This window comes from Homo sapiens, chromosome 12, assembly GCF_000001405.40.
Source record: "Homo sapiens chromosome 12, GRCh38.p14 Primary Assembly".
Taxonomy (NCBI): Eukaryota; Metazoa; Chordata; class Mammalia; order Primates; family Hominidae; genus Homo; species Homo sapiens.
The window spans coordinates 114,369,344-114,389,095 of record NC_000012.12 but is presented as its reverse complement, the minus strand read 5'-3'; the positions used below and the strand labels follow the sequence as shown (position 1 = coordinate 114,389,095).

General features: G+C 43.9%; 1 protein-coding gene across 4 annotated transcripts in view; it reads left to right on the top strand.

The window, feature by feature from the left end:
• TBX5 (T-box transcription factor 5) overlaps positions 1 to 19,752 on the top strand; it is a 54,532-nt gene that overhangs the window by 19,347 nt on the left and 15,433 nt on the right. For all 4 annotated transcript variants that reach the window (NM_080717.4, XM_017019912.2, NM_181486.4 and 1 more), the window contains one exon: positions 3,529 to 3,620. In NM_080717.4, coding sequence (NP_542448.1) covers positions 3,529 to 3,620 — 92 coding nt within the window. The remainder of the gene's footprint in view (positions 1 to 3,528; positions 3,621 to 19,752) is intronic.

The following is a 19,752-nucleotide window of genomic DNA, read 5'->3' as shown; positions in this document are numbered from 1 at the left end:
TTAGCCAGGTGTGTTGGTGGGCACCTGTCATCTCAGCTACTCGGGAGGCTGAGGCAGGAGAGTCACTTGAACCTGAGAGGCGGAGTTTGCAGTGAGCCAAGATCGCGCCACTGCACCCCAGCCTGGGTGACAGAGTGAGACTCTGTTTCAAAAAATAAAATATAAATAAAAAATCTGAAAGCTACAGGAATAGACACAGTTAAACAAAAATGGGCTGGGTGTGGTGGCTCACACCTTAATCCTAACAATTTGGGAGGCCAAGAGCTGGAGGATTGCTTGAGCCCAGGAGTTCAAGACCAGCCTGGGCAACATAGTGAGACTCTGTCACTCCGAAAACCTAAAAAAAAAAAAAAAAAGGTTGAGGGAGGGAGAATGTGTACACACACACACACACACACACACACACACACACACACACACGGATACTTTAAAAATATTTTAAAATAAACTTTAGGGTAGGAATAGTGGCTCATGTGTATAATCTCAGCACTTTGGAAGGCCAAGGTGGGAGGATCACTCCAGCTTGGGAGGTCAATGTTGTAGTGAGCTATGGTCACTCCACTGCACTCCAGCCTGGGTAACAGAGTGAGACCCTGTCTCAAAATAAGTAAATAAATAATTTTTAAAAATACTTGGCTCAGCTGGGCATGGTGGCTCACGCCTGTAATCCCAGCAGTTTGGGAGGCTGAGGCAGGCAGATCACCTGAGATCAGGAGTTTGAGACCAGCCTGGCCAACATGTTAAAACCCTTCTCTGCTAAAACTACAAAAATTACTCAGGCGTGGTGGCAGGCACATGTAATCCCAACTACTTGGGAGGCTGAGACACGAGAATTGCTTGAACCTGGGAGGTGGAGGTTGCAGTGAGCCGAGATCGTGCCAGTGCACTCCAGCCTGAGTGACAGAGTGAGACTCCGTCTCAAAAAACCATAACAACAACAAAAAACCTGGCTGGGCACAGTGGCTCAGCCTGTAATCCCTGTACTTTGGGAGGCCAAGGCAGGAGGATTGCTTGAGCTCAGGAGTTCCAGACCAGCCTGGACAACATGGCAAAACCTCATCTGAACTGAAACTAAAAATAAAAATAAAAAAATTAGCCCAGCATGGTGGTGCATGCCTGTGGTCCCAGCTGCTCGGGATGCCGAGGCAGGAGGATTGCATGAGCCCAGGAGTTTGAGGCTGCAGTGAGCTATGTTCGCACTGCAGCACTCCAGCCTGGGTGATAGATTGAGACCCCATATCCAAACAAAACAAAAAGGCTTCATTTTTTAGAGCAGTTTTAGTTTCACAGCAAAGTTGTGCAGAACATACCAAGATTTCCCCTATAGCTTCTCCCCACCACATGCACAGCCACCCCCACCATGGACATCCTGTACCAGAGTGGAACATTTTTTGCAGTTGATGAGCCTACACTGACACATCATCATCACCCAGAGTCCATAGTTCACCTTAGGGCCCACTCTTGGTGTTGTACATTCCATGGGTTTGGACAAATACATAATGATGTGTACCTGCCTTTATAGTATCATAGGGAGTAGTTTCACAAACCCAAAAATCCTCTGGGCTCTGCCTATTCATCCCTCCCTCTTTCCAACCTGTGGCCACCACTGACCTTTTAACTGACTCCGTAGTTTTGCTTTTTCTAGAGTGTTGTATAGTTGGAATCATATATCTTAAAATATTAATTGTATGTATATTTTTTATGGTGAATACACATAGGTGCACATACATATAATAATTTTATTTTCAATAATTTTGGGGTTAGAGGTAAACCTCATAGGTCATCTCTTCCAGAAGGCAGAATAGATAAGAATTCCTCTCTTCAAATGAAGAAATTAGAGGGTACATTCATTTATCAAGCACAGTTTCTCAAATCTGTAACTATACTACTGGGAAAGACTCGAGATGATTTTTAGGGATACTTGAATATGATGAAATCACAGAGAAAGTGTTTTTTGTTTGTTTGTTTTTTTGTTTTTTGTTTTTTTTTTGAGACGGAATTTTGCTCTGTTGCCCAAGCTAGAGTACAGTGGTGTGATCTCGGCTCACTGCAATCTCTGCCGCCTGGGTTCAAGTGATTCACCTGCCTTAGCCTCTGGAGTAGCTGGGATTATAGGAGCCTGCCATCATGCCAGGCTATTTTTTTTTTTAAATTTTGTATTTTTTGTAGAGATGGGGTTTTACCATGTTGGCCAGGCTGGTCTTGAACTTCTGATCTCAAGTTATCCACCCACCTTGGCTTCCCAAAGTGCTGGGATTACAGGCATGAGCCACCATGGCTGGCTGAAAGTTGTTCTTTTTAAAATTATCTTTCTAGTCTTCTATTAGAGAGGGAGTCTCAGTTCAGTACTGGTTTGTGTTAACTAGTTCTCTAAAAGTGTCTAATTTCCACTTGCAACAAAGAGAAGGCAAGCTTTGGATATGAGTAAAGACAATTACATATATTTATTTTCTTCTTATTGAGTAGCAAGTGATTCTAGTTTGTCATACAAAGAAGTGATATCATATTTGTGTGAAATAAGTGCAAATTAAAAGTGGTTTGATTTAAATAAAAATATTAAGCCAGTGTACAGGTGCTGTATAGATATGGCAATAATAGTGAAAGAAAACCTTGAATGACTGAAGTTTGAGTCATGCTGCTCTCATGTCTATAACATGATTCTCTATGTTCTCTATGAAAATTCAGTTCACACGCAATTTTTAGGAAATACTTCTGGCAAACTCCGTATGGTTGCCTTCTGTCACCTGGGTCTGCTACTGTACATTCACACTAATATAATGCGTTGATGGATTAAATTAAAGTTCTGGGCCTGGAACCAAAACGTGCAAAAAGACCCTGTTCTGTAACTATGCCTTGTATGTTGCAACACAGATTTCCAAGAGAGAAACCTCTCTTCTTTGCTTAGGACATTAAAGAGGTTTGGTGCTGTTCAATAGCTATTATATAAGTTATCATTATGTATATTGGCGTTTATTTCATTAGGCACCATTTTCCACCAGAACTAGGAAACGCTATCTGCAAAACTATGAAATGAACATGAAATGAGGCATAATAGAATTTTTGAATGCAATAATCAAGACATGTTTTCTGCAGAAACACACGATGGGGTCAACCCTTCCAATGGAGATGACTACGCTGCCTGATGTGCAACGATCATGTCAACATGCACAGCTTTCCAAAGGGGAGGGAGTACTGAGTATTGAGGCCTAGATGGTGTTTAAAACACAAAATGCAAGATTGGAAAAAAAAAAAAAAGAACCCAGCTGGAATGATGCAGAGTATGACTCCAATTAATGGGCAAACCAAACCCAGGTGTTTTTCCCCTTTTAAAAGCAGTCCAATGGAGGACATTTTTCAAAGCCTCCACTTGAATGAAGTGGTGGGTCCCGTTGACGTGACTGGCTTAATTTGCTTCTTTTGGTTGCCAGAGGCTGCATTTCCATGATATTTATTATTAGCTCATGTCCTGAGGTGGTCTTGCAGCAATCAAGTGAAAACCAGCTTGTTCTCTCTTCCTCTTTCCTTCAGATCACGCAATTAAAGATTGAGAATAATCCCTTTGCCAAAGGATTTCGGGGCAGTGATGACATGGAGCTGCACAGAATGTCAAGAATGCAAAGGTAGGAAAGTGGATTCCTCAACTTTCTCCTCCCCACATACCCCTCAAATTACCCAGGTAAGCCAGCAGCAACCCAGCACCTCCCTCCACCAGCCTTCCTGCCCGTAGAATGCCAGGCACATGGAAATGGGGAGAATGAGCCCCCTCTGTCCCATTTTCTGATAACCTTCACATGTGGTTGGCGCCATTGGGCAACCTGGAGAATACATTTTCTAGTGGAGAGAAGGTACGAAGAGTTCGGCATTCTCCATTCTCCCAGGGAACAAAAGGCACAGCTTTCTCTTCTTTCTCTGCTGTCTCTCTCCCTGTAGGGAAACCCTTTCTCTTTTTCTTCCCATAAGTCACAGCCGATGAATGCTTTTTTTTTTTTTTGGCAACAGCTCTTGGTAAATGAAAGAGAAGTTAATGACTTGATTTCCTGAGGGTGAAATACAGACAAACTTGACACCATGTGGTGTCCAGGGCACTGGAGGATTGGAAGCTGGTGCTAAAAATTGCTCGGTATTTTTACATATCCTGTGGTCATAGTTGCTGATATGATGAATAGAACGGGCTGTAGCAAATGTACATAGTGGGAATTTGGTCTGATTTGAAAGGATTGTACAAGCATTGCCAATTTTGTGGAACATTCTCTCTACCTCTTGATGTGCTTCCAAAATAACTTACCATATGGCAAGCGAATTAGAAATACATCTTGATCCCTCTGACCAAGAAGGTTTGTGTGTGTGTGTTGTGTGTGTGTGTGTGTGTGTGTGTGTGTGTTTTCTTTTTTTCTGTTTGGTGGGTTTAGTGTTTCAAAATAAAATGAGATCCTTTTGGATGTTTTCCTTATCCTTTCTGGAAGATGTGAAAAGGGAGAGTCAGGCAGATAGACAGATATATTCATTCAAAGAAAGATAAGAGACCTAAGAACATAAAGGGAGAAAGACCTTAAATCTGTGGTTTTAATATTAGGTTTAGAAATACATGCAATGGAAAAATTGTTTTTAGATAGCGGGCTTATCAGGTCAAATTTTGCAAGCTTTTTAAAAAATAATGCTAGCCCAGGTGGCATGTTCCTGCAGCCCCAGCTACTCAGAAGGCCGAGGCAGGAGGATTTCTTGAACCCAGGAATTTGAGGCTGCAGTGAGCTATGATCACACTACTGCACTGCAGTTGGGACAACATAGCAAGACCCTGTCTCCAAATATTAAAAAAAAAAAACAAGAGAATGACCCTGTTTCCAAACATTAAAAAAACAAGGAGTGTGGTACATCTGTGCACACATTCCTGTTTTCATAAATTGGTTTCCTTCAAGATTGTGGACTCACAAGGTACTTTTTGTGGCTAAAATAGGCAAGTTCTGAGTTTGTTATTTAAAATTTATTTTTGGTTTTAAGCATCTACATTTTGAAATTGATTGGGCCATAGGGTCAGTGGAAAAGATGACAACAAATATCATGTTTTAGCTGAAAGAGGTTCAATAATTCACGGCCCTGGGCTCAGAGTGCCAACTTTCTGTTCCTATCCCATTCTGATGGTGATTTGCCGTTAAGGTGGCTTAGTCATTGCCACACAAAGTCACCTCTCAGTCCTACAGGCAAAGTTCCTGCTGTGCAGGTGGGAGCTGAAGGGAGATCACCCATTCCCACCTGCAATCAAAGGGTTTCATCATCTCTTACTTCTTCCCTCCTTTTTACAAGGTCAAGGGCAGGGGGTGAATAATAGATTTAAGGTGTGTTGAATCATCCCTTCAAACTTTACCAGTTACCACCTCCTACTGATTATACCTTCCAGCATAACTCGGAATTCAGCCCCCTTCTGCCAGGGTGCTAATTCTAGCCACCACCAGCCTCCTAACTAATGGAGACCCAAATTCAGTTCTGGTCTCCTCCAGGGACTTTCTTTAGGCAGCCACCAAAGAGATCTTTGTAAAACACAAATCAGGCAAGTTCTCTTTGCAGTGGAGAACATGTCCAAGTCTCCTGTTGCCATCACTATAAGGTTTGGACTCTTTTGCCTGGTTAGCCATGACCTTCCCATCTGGCCTGGCCACCCCCCTAGGTTTGTCCTTCACCAGTGTCCCCCTAATATGTGTCAATCATGCTAAAGGAAAGGCTTCAAACCTGTGTTCTTTCCTTTATTTTTGGCCCTTCGAACACACATTTCGTCTGTGTCAAACTCTTTTCCCTCCTTCTCACCAGGCCATCTCCCAACCATCACTGAGTCTCCTTGTAGCTTTTCCTTCCTTCAAGAAGCTTTCCCTGGCCATAGACTGTGTGGTCAGCCCATGTCTCCCCCAGGACCCCTCCTGGGAATCAGCCCCTCAAACTTTACCAGTTGCCCTCCAGGCTTTTCTGTGTCCGACCCAGGCCTGGAACTTTGGAAGATGATTGGACAGATGACAGCCAGCTATGAAAGTAGAGACAGGTGGGCATGTGCAGGTGTGTGAGAGCTCAGATGTCAGATGTCAGTCATCAAGGGAGTCTTTTCTAAAAGCTCTTTTTTTTTTTTTTTTTTGGAGACAGGGTCTCACTCTGTCGCTCAGGCTGGAGTGCAGTGGCACGATCTCAGGTCTCTGCAGCCCTGACATCCACAGGCTCAGATGATCCTCCCACCTCCCAAGTACCTGGGACTGCAGGCATGCACTGCCATACCCAACTAAATTTGTATGTTTTTATTTTATTATTATTACTTTTTTGAGGCGGAATCTCCCTCTGTCATCCAGGCTGGAGTGCAGTGGCACGATCTCCGCTCACTGCAACCTTGGCCTCCCGGGTTCAAGAGAGTCTCCTCCCTCAGCCTCCTGAGTAGCTGGAATTACAGGCGTTCACCACCACGCCTGGCTAATTTTCGTGTTTTAGTAGAGACGGAGTTCACCATGTTGGCCAGGCTGGTCTCAAACTCCTGACCTCAGGCAATCCACCCGCCTCGGCCTCCCAAAGTGCTGGGATTACAGGCGTGAGCCACCACGCCTAGCCTAAATTTGTATTTTTTGTAGAGACAGGGTTTCACCATGCTGCCTAGGCTGGCCTAGAACCCCTGGACTCAAGTGATCTACCTGCCTCAGGCTCCCAAAGTGCTGGGATTACAGACATTACCCACAGCCCCTGGCCAACTCTCCTAAAGTTCTAAACACATGTTCATTTGTTTGTGTACTTACTTATTGATTGATTGATTGATTGAGACAGGGCCTCGCTCTGTTGCCCAGGCTGGAGGGCAGTGGTGCGATCATGACTCACTGCAGCCTCAACCTTCCAGGCTCAGGTGGTCTTCTGGCTTCAGCCTCCCAAGGAGCTGGGTGTCCAGGCACACAGCACCGCATCCAGCTAATTTTTGTATTTTTGTAGAGGCAGGATCTCCCCAGGTTGCCCAGGCTGGTCACACAACTGTTTATATATTTAGGCAGATGACTCTTCTTTGGCCTGAATTGGCTGTCCTAACCATCTGTCAAGGTATTGCAGATTGCTTGAGGCCTGGACTAGGTGTCCTTGATGGGTAGGAACTTTGCAGATGGAATGGAGGAAAAGTGTGGCTAGTCATTGGTAGAAAGTCAGTAATTGACATGTTGAGTCAAACCTCTCAGCCTAAGAGCCATGTGTGTCTTTGTGGCCATGTTAGCAGTTGCCCTGGAAACCAGAGGGCTGAACTAACCACTGATGAAGTTGGGGGAGTAGATGAGGTCATTGGCCAAGGTCTCTGGACATGTCCTTGGGGAAGGAGAAAGAGTGAAGAAGAGTGGTTCCCACAGAAGGCTTTGGAGTCAGACAAACCTGGGGTCAATTCTTGTTCTACATTTATCAGTATGAGCCCTGGGGTAAGTGATTTAACCTCATGGAACCTCAGTATTCTCATCTGCAGGAGGGGCATAGATAAGTATAGCCTCTACTTTCTAGGGTTCCTGTAAAAATTATATGAGCAAATGCCTATAGAGTGCTTGATTCCTAGTCTATATGTTCAGTAAAATTTAACTAATTTGGAGGAAAGCTCCCCAGTACTCCCAATTTTGCCCTTGTTCAGAATTTATTTTGGGTCATTCTCCCAACCCCCAGGTTGCAGTCAGTAGTGACAAGTGGGGAATATGGCTCTCCAGAGTCAGCCTTGATAACAGCCAGGCAGGAACGGCAGGCTCACTGCTAATCTTGTAATTCTGTTTCCTGTCCCCTACACACCCGGTGACAGCTGGCTATGGGAGAAAAGCAGGAGGGATGAAATATCCTCTAATTCCAACAATTGGTAGAAGGGAGTGAGGTGGGATTACAGAGAGTTAAGCATTACCTTGCACTTATTCCACAGAAATAACTTTTGGATTTGCTTGGCAAATGTCTGGCTGTTCCCCCATCTACCTCTTGGCCCAACTCCCTGTGTTTGGAAAACGCAGATGATGTCTTCTTTATTTTCCAACATTTTTTAATGGTTTCTAGTTACAGGAGCAATCACTGCTTATTATAAAAATTTGGGAGCTATGGGAAAGCACAAAGCATAAAGTCATTTAAACATCCTGTCTCAAGCAGACCAATTAAAGGGTGTGCCAAGTTTATTTAGAAAGGTTAATCAATCTGTGTCTTAAAAAAAATCTAATCCTAAAAACTAATATTTCCCCAAATTGAAGAACCCTTAGATTGGTGACAAAGGAGTTTTTTTTTTAATAAAAACTATTTATTTATTTAGGACAGGGTCTTTCCCTGCCATCCAGGCTGGCATGAAGTGGCACAATCATAGCTCACTGCAGCCTCGAACTCCTGAGCTCCAGCAATCCTCCTGCCTTAGCGTCTGAAGTAGCTGGACTACAGGTGCATACCACCATGCCCAGCTAATTTTTTGTAGCGACGGAATCTCACTATGTTGCCCAGGTTGGTTTCAAACTCCTGGTCTCAAGCAATCCTCATGTCCTGGCCTTCTAAATCATGGGAATTACAGGTTTTAGATGGTGCACAGACCCATGGACACATCAGTCCTGTGATTTCATAGATGTTATTGCTCAGAATGAGACTGAGTTCTAAGAAAGGAAGAAAAGAAGGAAGCAAGGAAGGGAGGGGAGTTAAGGCTGATTAAAGAGGAAATATTAACTGAATAGCAGAACGGCTCGTATCAAGGTTTGGGGAACATTGTCAAGATAATATGCAAAGCACAGAAATTTGAGAAACACACATAAAAGCTCAACCACCTACAAAGAAAGGCTTGAGAGTGCCATTGCTGTTTGAAACCATCTAGGCCCTGGTTTTTTATAGAACAACTCTTTCTTTGGACTTTGCTTCAGTCTTCAAGATGTATTCAAACAAGTTCTGAACTTCCTAGGAGCCAAAGGGGCTGGAGCTGGGACTGGGGCAGAGTAGGCTTTATGGAGAGGGTAAAAGTAGACCTCGTAGAGAGAATGGGACCTGAATCTGTTGGGAAGAAGGGTTTTCTGGGCTGAAGCAAGGAAGAAGTGGGCAAGGGTCTAAAAGTCTAGGGGGCTGGAGTAGGGGTCAGATTCTGAAGATCTCTGAAAGCCAGCTGGAGTGACTCTATGACAGGTATGAGGAGAGCTGCTCCTAGAAGTGTGGAATTGTAGAGATAGAAGGGATTCCAGGAGACAGCATCTGATCCACCTGCTCTCTTTTGCAGAATGGGAAACTGAGGCCCAGAGACTCATTTACTTATTCAGCTTTTGATCTGTTGATTTGTTTATGCAACTAAAACATTTGTTAAGTGTTTGCTGTATGCCAAGCACTAGGCATACAAGGATGAATCAACACACAGGGGACCAGGGTCCATGGATGGAAACAGGCCCAGGAGCTGGGGTCCAGGCTGCCGCGCTGAGCAGCTCCAGGGCTTTTCTACTCGACCGAGGAGTGTCTGTTTCCTCATCTGTAAAAAGGAAGTCATTACAGAGCCTACCTCCAGGCCTGTTGCAAGGATGAAATGAGGTAACGTGTGTGTACTGATTATTATTGCTGCATAACAAATGACTCCCAAGCTTAAGCTGGGCTGGCTGGGACAACCTGGCTTCCAAACTATCCCATCTGTTCTCTGTGTGTGATGTTAAATCCAGGCCAGCCAAAGTGGCTCACCTGCGACAACTTTCCCCAACAACACATTGGGAGTCTTCTAGCAGAGGAAGGAAGTATACACTTCCACAAAGAGCTCCCAGACCATCAAAGTCCCCAAGTTCCCTACAGTTGCAATCTGCTAGCCCCCAGTAATGTCCCATAAATGCTGCTTGTGGTGAAAAGACCAGGCCTTTGCTGGTCGCCGTTGTGTGCAAGGGGAAGCAGGAAGCACCAGGGAGGCACTTTTATTTTGTCTGTGATTGGTGGGTCATGCTATTTGGAAGGACTCAGCTGTGCAGTTCTTGCTGACCATCAGATGGTGGCTGGGCTACCGGTAACGGAAGGCAGGTCAGGCAGGATGTCCAGCTTGGCACACTCCTGTGACCCACAGTTGATGCTGCTTTTGGATGGGACCTCAGCTGTTGTCCACTGAAAAATCAGAATGTGGCCTCTCTAGCTTGGCAGACTCAGGGTGTTCAGACTTTCTCACGGAAGTGGAAGCCACCTGGTCCTTGCTGACTGCACCTTGGATGTCAGGTAGTGTCACTTCTGCTGCATTCTTTTGGTTGAATGTGACTCACTCAGGTGGGTTCAGATTCAGGGAGTTTGAGACCAGCCTGGACAACATGGTGAAACCCCGTCTCTACTAAAAATACAAAAAATTAGCTGGGTGTGGTGGTGCTCACCTGTAATCCCAGCTACTTGGGAGTCTGAGGTGGGAGCATTGCTTGAACCCCAGAGGTAGAGGTTGCAGTGAGCCCAGATCGTGCCACTGCACTCCAGCCTGGGCAACAAGAGTGAAACTCCGTCTCGAAAAAAACAAAACAAAACAAACAAAACAAAACAGAAAACAGGTTCAAGAAGGGAGGACAAGTTCTCTCTTCTACCTAGAAGGAGTGTCAAGGAATTCGTCGACGCATTTTAAAACTGCCTCAGCAGGCATGGAAGCACACAGCACAGTGTCTGGCCCAGAGGGACGCTCGATCGCTGGTAGGTGTTAAGACACGGTCCATGTTCTGTTGAAGCCAGATGCCAGGTTGACTTGCCCAAGGTCACACAGTTTGGATGAAGGGGCCTGCCTGGCTGCAAGCTTGCTTTCTTCAGGATGGAGAGAACCCCCTTTCCACTAAACTGGGCTTCTGCTCATCTTCTTGTAACCATAAACCCCAGAATATGAACAAGCAATAGCAAAGTCCTTCATCTCGGTATTTCTTAGCTCACCTCACACAGAATGACCATGAGCAATGACTGGTCTTTTCACCATAAGAAGTATTTATGGAGCATTATCAGGGGCTAAGTAGATGATGGATTGGGGGACTTGGTTGGCCTCAGAGTTCTTCATGGAAGAAATGAAGCTCCCTTTACTTCCTTGCTCTCTTAGTGTGCTGCAGACGGCATCAGGGGCGTGGTCCCTGAACCTAAGGGGTAACTTGAGGCTCTACTTTTGGTGACTGGGATCTGAGCCACCCAACCAGAGAGTGGATGGGAAAGTTTGGAGTCCAGGATGTCTCAGCCAGACTGAAGCCCACCCATGACTCAGCTCCAGTTTGATTATTGAAAGGACTCTACACAGCCACATTGGGAACTGACCAACCTCACCCGCCTCTGTGGGTGCTTATTTTTACCCTCTCTACCTTGTTCCTGTAGGGTAGGGCTTCTGAAAATGGGTGCAAGACTCCTTTTGAAAATCTAGTTAAAGCAAGAGACCCTCTGAAAGACTCACAATATATGAATAGAGAAAAAAAGTCGCTAGGTGTGGTGGCTCATGTGTGTAATCTCAGCACTTTGGGAGGCTGAGACAGGAGGAGAATTGCTTGAGATCAGGAGTTTGAGACCAGCCAGAGCAACGTAGGAAGATCCTGTCTCTAAAAAAAAAGAAAAAGAAAAAGATAAAAAAAAAAAAAAAGATTAACTGGACATGATAGCCTGTGTCTATAGTTGCAGTTACTCTTTTGGCTGAGACAGGAGGATTGCTTGAGCCCAGGAGTTTGAGGCAGCAGTGAGCTGTGATTATGCCACTGCATTCCAGCCTGAGCAACAGAGCAAAATGCTGTCTCAATTAAAAAAATTCAATTTCAAGGGATGTATAAGGCCTAGGTCTCCTAAAAGGTTAAAATTCTTCTATTTGAACCTTCCCTCTTCTATTACTTCCTTCCTGATTTTAAATTAATTTTCAGCTCTTAACCTCAAATGATCATTTTTCAAACTGAAGGCTTAGCACTCTTGTGTTCTCATGCTTGTGGTTAAAGGTAATCTGAATGCCCAATTAATGAGAAGTGGTTTTCGAGACAACATTAGACAACCTTCTGGAGATGGCATTAACTCCCCTCTTAGGGTTGTAATTTACCTAGCCACATGGCTTCCTCCAGGGAAGCAGTGCATTTATGTAAAACAAGAGCGGGGTTGTGTCTGGGGAGCTGAGCCAGCCTAAGTGAAGCTGTAAAATTGAGATGTTTTTCTGAAAGGATCTCATCTTGGGTCATGGTTATTTGTCAAGGCATGGATGCTCAGAACCCAACCCCGCCACATTCCCACTTTCCCACTCAGGTACCCCCACCCCCACCTAACCCATCCCCAGCATATCTGCTATTCAGGAACAGGGTTGGGAGAAACTCACTCACCCATCTGTGTTTTTCCTCATCTTTAATGAGGTATAATTGACAAAAAGTGTATATACTTAGGTTATACAACTTAATAGTTTAATATACGTAAATGTGAGATAATTACCATAATCAAGCTAATTAACATATTCAGCACCTCATATAGTTACCATTTTATTTTCTTGTGTATATATATATTTTAATATATATATATAAATATTTAAGATGTACCCTCTTAGTTAATTTTAAGTACACAATACTGTGCTCTTAACTGTATTCACATTGCTGTACGTTAGCTCTCCAGGAATTATGCCTCTTGAATAACTGCCTCTTGAATAACAAATGCCTTTGACCTATATCTCCCCATTGCCCTTCTCCCCAGCTACTGGCAACCACCATTCTCCTCTCCACTGCTACAGGTTTGACTATTTTAGATTACACCTATAAGTGAGTCATGTCATGTTGATCTTTCTGTGTCCGGCTTGTTTCACTTAACAATGTCCTCCAGGTTCATTCATGTTGTCTCAAACGAGAGGATTTCCTTCTTTATTTTTAAGGCTGAATAGTATTCTAGTGTGTGTGTGTGTGTGTATATATATACACACCACATTTTCTTTATCCATTCATCCACTCATGGATACTCAGGCTGATTCCATATGTTGGCTCTTTTGAATCGTGCTGCAATGATCATGGGAGTGTAGATATCTCTTTAAGATACTGATTTCATTTCCTTTGGGTGTATATCTAGAAGAGGGATATACATATATCCCTGGGTCATATGAGAGTTCTATTTTTCTGTTATTTATATATTGTTTTGTTTTGAGATAAGGTCTTACTCTGTTGCCCAGGCTGGAGTGCAGTGTCATGATCAGGGCTCATTACAGCTTCCACTTCCTGGGTTCAAGCAATCCTCCCACCTCAGCCATCCAAGTAGCTGGGACTACAGGCACGTGCCACCATGCCTTGTTAATGTTTTTCAATTTCAGTAGAGACAAGACCTTGCTATGTTGCTCAGGCTAGTCTTGAACTCCTGAGCTCAAGTGATCCTCCTGCCTTGGCCTCCCAAAGTGCTGGGATGACAGAACGTGGGCCACTGCACCTGGCTGATAGTTCTATTTTTAATTTTTTTGGGAACCTCCATACTGTGTTCCATGGTGGCCGCACCAACTTGCATTCCCACCAGCAGTGTGCAAGGATTCCTTTTTCTCCACATCCTTGCCAACATTTGTTATCTTTTGTCTTTTTGAGAATAGCCATCCTAACAGGTGTAAGGTGATATATCTCATGTGGCTTTGATTTGTATTTCCTCAATGAGTAATGAAGTTGTACATTTTTATTATACCTCTTATCTATTTGTATGTCTTCTTTTGAGAAATGTCTATTCAGGTCTTTTGCCCATTTTTTAATGGGATTTTTTTCACCACTATTGAGTTGAGTTCATCCACAATTGAGCAGTGTTTCTCAAACTTTTGGTAGACATCACAATTACCTGGGGGGCTTGTTAAAAAAGATTTCTAGGTCTCACTCTCAGAGGTTTGAGTCAGTGGCTTCAGGGATGGGTCAGAAACTGCCCTTCAACAGTTTTCTCCAGTGGCTCTGATGGAGGTGTCCCCTGGTCACACTTGGGTAATCCCTTGGTTCTAGAGAATGAGTGAGCACTAGAGAATGCAGATGAACACGTGATTGTATTTCTGCAAACAAAGCCCATGTATGGGCCATTTTACACAAAAGGCAACCCTTTTCTCTACTTAGTACTCAACTCACACTGAACATTAGAATTACCTGTAGTCCTCCCCTCAGTGTTCTATTATGAAAAATCGAAGGCGTGTGAGAAACATGGAAGAATTGTACGATGAGTGCCCATGTACTCACTGCTTAGAGTCTACAATTAAAATTTTGCTATATATTTGCTCTACCACATATCCCTCCATCCACTCACCTATCCATCCATTCATCTAGCCATCCTTCCGTCCCTCTCTCCCTCCCTCCTTCTTTTTATTGATGCATTTCAAATTAAATTGCAGACATGAGTACATTTTACCCCAAACACTACAGTGTGCACATCATTAACTAGGACTCAATTTTTGTTCACACTCCTGTATTTTAGGTTGAATTTATATAGGGTGAAATGTACAAATGTTAAGTACACCTCTCACTGTTTGGCACATGCACATACCTGTGAAACCCAAGCCCCTATCCAAATATAGAACATTCCCATCACCCCAGAAAATTCTCTCATTTCCTGCCCCCTTGTCACTCCCTGCCTCCTTCTCTTCACCAGAGGCAATCAATGTCCTGACTTTTTTCACTATAGGTTAGTTTTGTCTGTTATAGAATTTCATATAAATAGGATCATCCAGTGTATACTCTTTGTGGAAGACTTCTTTCTCCTGGGAAGCTTTTAAAAACTCCCAGTGTCCATGCTGTTCCCCAGAACTATAACATCAAATTCCCTGGGGGTGAGTTTGGGTGTCAACATATCTATTTTTAATTTCCCAGGTGATTATGGTATGCAGCCAAGCTTGAAACCAACTCCCCTAGAGGAAGTTCCTCGTCTTTGTCCATCCCCACCCTAAGCCGTGTCCCCCAATCACCCAACTCCACTAATTAACATCCTCACATTAAAATTTTATTTTCCAAGAGACCTGCTACCTTGTAGTTGTTCTGAACAGGGAAGGAGGCAGACTTTTATATTAGCACAGAAAACATTTATCATTCCTTCAGAAATAGTTGCTTTGGGTGACTTTGCCAAGGTCATCCTCAGAAGCGAAGGTCACCAGGAAGTCCTTGGCTTACTTCTGGATCATCAGTGGCCTCCACATGATTTTCCCCAGAACAAAGGATGCCCCAAGGCAATCCCTTTGGTACAGAAAGCAGTTTGAGAAAGCTGTAGCATTCCAGCTTCCAGAAGGATTGAGGCCTTGGAGGACTCCTTCTCACCACCCTACCCCTGTTCCAAAATCATGTAAAAGAAAAGACTAAACCTAAGTCATAGTTAAGCTGGTTTAAATGGTTAATTTACAAGACTGGACTAAAATATTGGCTGTTCAGTTCAGTACTAGACTATTTGATGAATTATTACCATAAATTCATTAAAAGTTTAGCTTGAGGCTGGGTGCGGTGGCTCATGCCTATAATCCTAGCACTTTGGGAGGCCGAGGTGGGCGGATCACAAGGTCAGGAGTTTGAGACCAGCCTGGCCAACATGGTGAAACCCCGCCTCTTCTAAAAATACAAAAATTAGCTGGGCATGATGGTGGGTGCTTGCAGTCCCAGCTACTTGGGAGGCTGAGGCAGGAGAATCGCTTGAACCTGAGAGGCAGAGGTTGCAGTGAGCTGAGATTGCACCATTGCACTCCAGCCTGGGCGACAGAGCGAGACTGTCTCAAAAACAAACACAAACAAACAAACTTTAGCTTGAATTGTCCTTTTATGTCTGTAGTTTTACAAAGTTTAGCTTGAATTGTCCTTTGTTGTCTGTAGTTTTACATCTAGCTTTTACCCGCAGAATCCACACCTGCCCTGTGAGATAGGCCTCTTGTTCTCCGTTATGCAAACAGGGAAACTGAGACAAAGGGTAATGTCATGAATTGCCCAGGACTTTTCTCCATGATTTCCGAACCATCTCTATAGTTTGAGTCAAAACCGTTTTTTGAATCACAGACCCTTTTTGAGTAGCCAATGCAAATGTGAACCTCTTCCTAGAAAAAGTGATCAGCTCTAAATATTTGACATTTTTGGGTATTCATACCCATTTGAAGCCCTTGCTGGGTAAGAACCTCTGCTCCAAAATATAATAATGTATATTTACAAAATAGTGTTTATTGAGCAATGTGTCCCCAGTGTGTGTGTGTGTGTGTGTGTGTGTGTGTGTGTGTGTGTGTATGTATATATATTCGCTAAGCCTTTCCATGCATCATTTCATTTTATAACCCCAAAGAGGTGGCTATTTTATTATCCCCATTTTATAGACAGAAGACTGAGGCTTGGGTAAAGGAAGAAACTAGCCAGCAATGGAGTGGTCTAGTTCGTGCCTGGATACTGAAGGAAGGCACATTCACCTGGCCTGACATCGGAGCCTGAGCTTGATGCTACCACTCTGATACTATATTATCTACAGATTTAACAAGTGGGACCCAAGGCCCCAAACCAAAATTTTTACAAGTGGTGGGTACTTAAGGCCAGGGAGAGAAGTGCCTTTGAGTTTCTTGGCACCCCTCAAATCATATAGCCCTGGTTGAGTCAACAATGGGAAATTTAGGCCTTATAAGGTGGCTCATGTCTATTATCCCAGTGCTTTGGGAGGCAGAGGGGAGGATCACTTGAGGCCAGATCAAAACCAACCTGGGCAATATAGCAAGACCCCATCTCTAAAAAAAAAAAAAATACAACTATTGGCTGGGTGTGGTGGCACATGCCTACAGTTCCAGCTACCTGGGAGGCTGAAGCAGGAGGACCCCTTGAGCCCAGGAGCCTGAAGTCACCGTGAGCTATGTTCATGCCACCTCACTCCAGCCTGGACAACAGAGTGAGAGTTTGTCTTAAAAACAAAAGAAAAAAACCGACAATGGGAAAGTTTTATAACCTCTTTGTGCCCTCACCCCCATTCTTTTTTGAAATTTGTATAAATTTAGAGAGTACAAGGGTAGCTTTTATACCTGGATCTATTGCATAGTGGTGAAGTCGGGCTTTTAGTGTAAGTATCACTTTAATAGTGTACATTGTATCCATTAAGTAATTTCTCATCCCTCACCCACCTCCCACCCGTCGGAGCCTCCAATGTCTGTTATTCCATGCTCTATGTCCACGCCCAGGTTGTACACATTCTTTAGCTCCACTTATAAGTGAGAACATTGTGTCCCCTTATTCTCATCAGCAACATGGTACCCAGCGCCCTTCTCCTGCTGGTGTAGTGTAAACTGAGTAAGCACTTTGCAGACTTGAAGAAGCCAGTGATTATTTACTATTTGCACTAGGCGAAATCCAGCCTTGGGTGTGCCCTCTGCAGTCCCTGCCGTGTCCGTGCATGTTAGATCAGAACAACTTCCTCAAGTGTATTAGAATTAGAATGTTAAGAAATCAAGAAAGCTCTCAAGGGGTGATGTGGCCCCCTTTTTAATTTTAATCACAGATTAAAATGCTATCGAGAAGAGGAATTTGCTCCAAGAGAAGAGGGATTTCACAGTCCCTCGCCTTGCCCCAGTGCACTGCTTTAGTTGTTTGAAAAAGGCTGCCAGAAATTGGGTAAGGATCACCAGGAAAAAAAAAAAAAAAAAAACACAAAAATCTGAACATGCCAGCGCCCCCTGCCACCTGCTCCCATGAAAAGGCCAATTCAGTCGGCTGTAGTGGAAAACGTTCTCCCGGGTGTTCATTAGCTGGAGGGAGGCTGAGGATGCAGTTTGGCCGTGGATTTCAATATTCCCTTGTAACGTTTTACAACCCAGACCCAGCGACAATGGCGTCATTCATTGCACTCGCTCACGTGGAACAGAACATGAGAGAAGGGCAGAGCTGGGGAGAAGCTGGTCTGTGGGCGCTGATACCCAAGGCCAGCTGAGGTACTCAGGACCCCCAGCTCGTGTTGGGGTCGGGGGTCCCAGACTCTTGTCAGAGCTTGTCCATGGGATGCAGGTGTAGCTGCTTGATACAGCAGAGAGCAGTGAGATTTGACTGTTGCAAACTAAAGTTTCTGCAAAGAGTAGGATAGATCAGTAGATCTTGATATTGCCCGGGTGGAGCCAATATCCAATTCTCTCATTACCAGCATGCTTTATAAAGTGGGATTTGCCAAGTAGTTGGTATGGAGGTAACAATTGCTTATTATTAAGCATTAGTTAGGTGGCTGATATAATGGGCTTATGGGGACTTTTATCACTCATCCCCGTTCCACCATTCCCCTTGATATAGGGACTTGGAAGGAAGGGCGGGAGGGGTATGAGGGATAGAAGGCTATATATTGGGTACAGTGTACACTGCTCGGGTGATGGGTTCATGAAAATCTCAGAAGTCACCACTAAAGAACTAATCCACGTAACCAAACACTACCTATTCCCCCAAAACAAAAAAATTTTTAAAATGTCATGTGAAAAAAATAAACATGATAACTGATAGGAAAAAAAAAGGTTAAATGAGGTCATAAGTGTGGGGCTTTAATCTCACAGGATGGTGGCCATATAAAAAAGAGGAAGATAGATAGATAGAGAGAGAGAGAGAGAGAGAGAGAGGGAGAGATCATCCCCCACTCTAACCCTCCCTGCCTGGCATGTGAGGACACTGAGGGAAGGCGGCCATCAGAAGCGAGGAAGACAGGCATCACCCGAAACTGACCATGCTAGCACCCACATCTCCAGAACTATGAGAAAATACATTTCTGTGTGTGTGCTTTTTTTAAAGTATTAGGTGGCGTGAGTTTTGGAATAGGATTGACCCTGGGTGAGACTCAGCTTTGCCTCTTAGCTGTGTGGTCTGGGACAAGTCACTTGACCTCTCTGTACCTGCCTTTTCTTTTCTTTCTTTTCTTTTTTCTTTTCTCTTTTCTTTTCTTTTCTTTCTTTTCTTTTCTTTTCTTTTCTTTCTTTTCTTTTCTTTTCTTTTCTTTTCTTTTCTTTTCTTTTCTTTTCTTTTCTTTTCTGAGACAGAGTTTCACTCTTGTCATCCAGGCTGGAGTGCAATGGTGCTATCTTGGCTCATTGCAACCTCCACCTCCCAGGTTCAAGTGATTGTCCTACCTCAGCCTCCCAAGTACATGCCCAGCTAATTTTTGTATTTTTAGTAGAGACAAGGTTTCGTCATGTTGACCAGACTGGTCTTGAACTCCTGATCTCAAGTGATCTGCCTGCCTCAGCCTCCCAAAGTGCTGGAATTACAGGTGTGAGCCACCGTGCCTGGCCCATCTGCATTTTCTTATCTCTAATGTAAATGTAACTGTACCTGTGAAATGAGGTTCTTGCCAGGATCAAATCAGGATAAGCATATAAGTCAAGCAGTACGGTGGCTGGAACATTAGGAGGCATTGAAGAACAATGTAGATGAGAATGATGATGATGATGATTAAAAAAAGAGCAGGCTCCTTTTGCTGCCTGTATTTCTAGAGACAGAAGGGCTTTTCAACTTTCACTTTAATTCTCTTGTGTCCTTGCTTCTTCATGGATGTTCTTAAGCTGTAGAAGAAAATAGTTTTATCTTCTCATCTGGAGGACTTTAGAGATTTCTGTCATACTAACCACGTCTCTTTGGTTGACCGTTCCTTTGATCCATGGATGAGCTCTGTGAAAATTGCCCCGCTGTTGTTTGATTCTAACATTTTCTTTCCTTTGCATGTGTAATTCTATAATGATTGAGAAGTCACTTCCCCATTCCATGCCCATATTTTGACACTTGTCAGAGGGGTTTGGGGACATCGTATTTCAGGCATTAACAGAGATGTTCACGATCGGTGTTGGGGATGATGTTTCAGGCTCTTTAGAGGGAAACAAGCTGTGAGGGACAAGTGGTTATTGGGATGATATTGCTTTTCCCA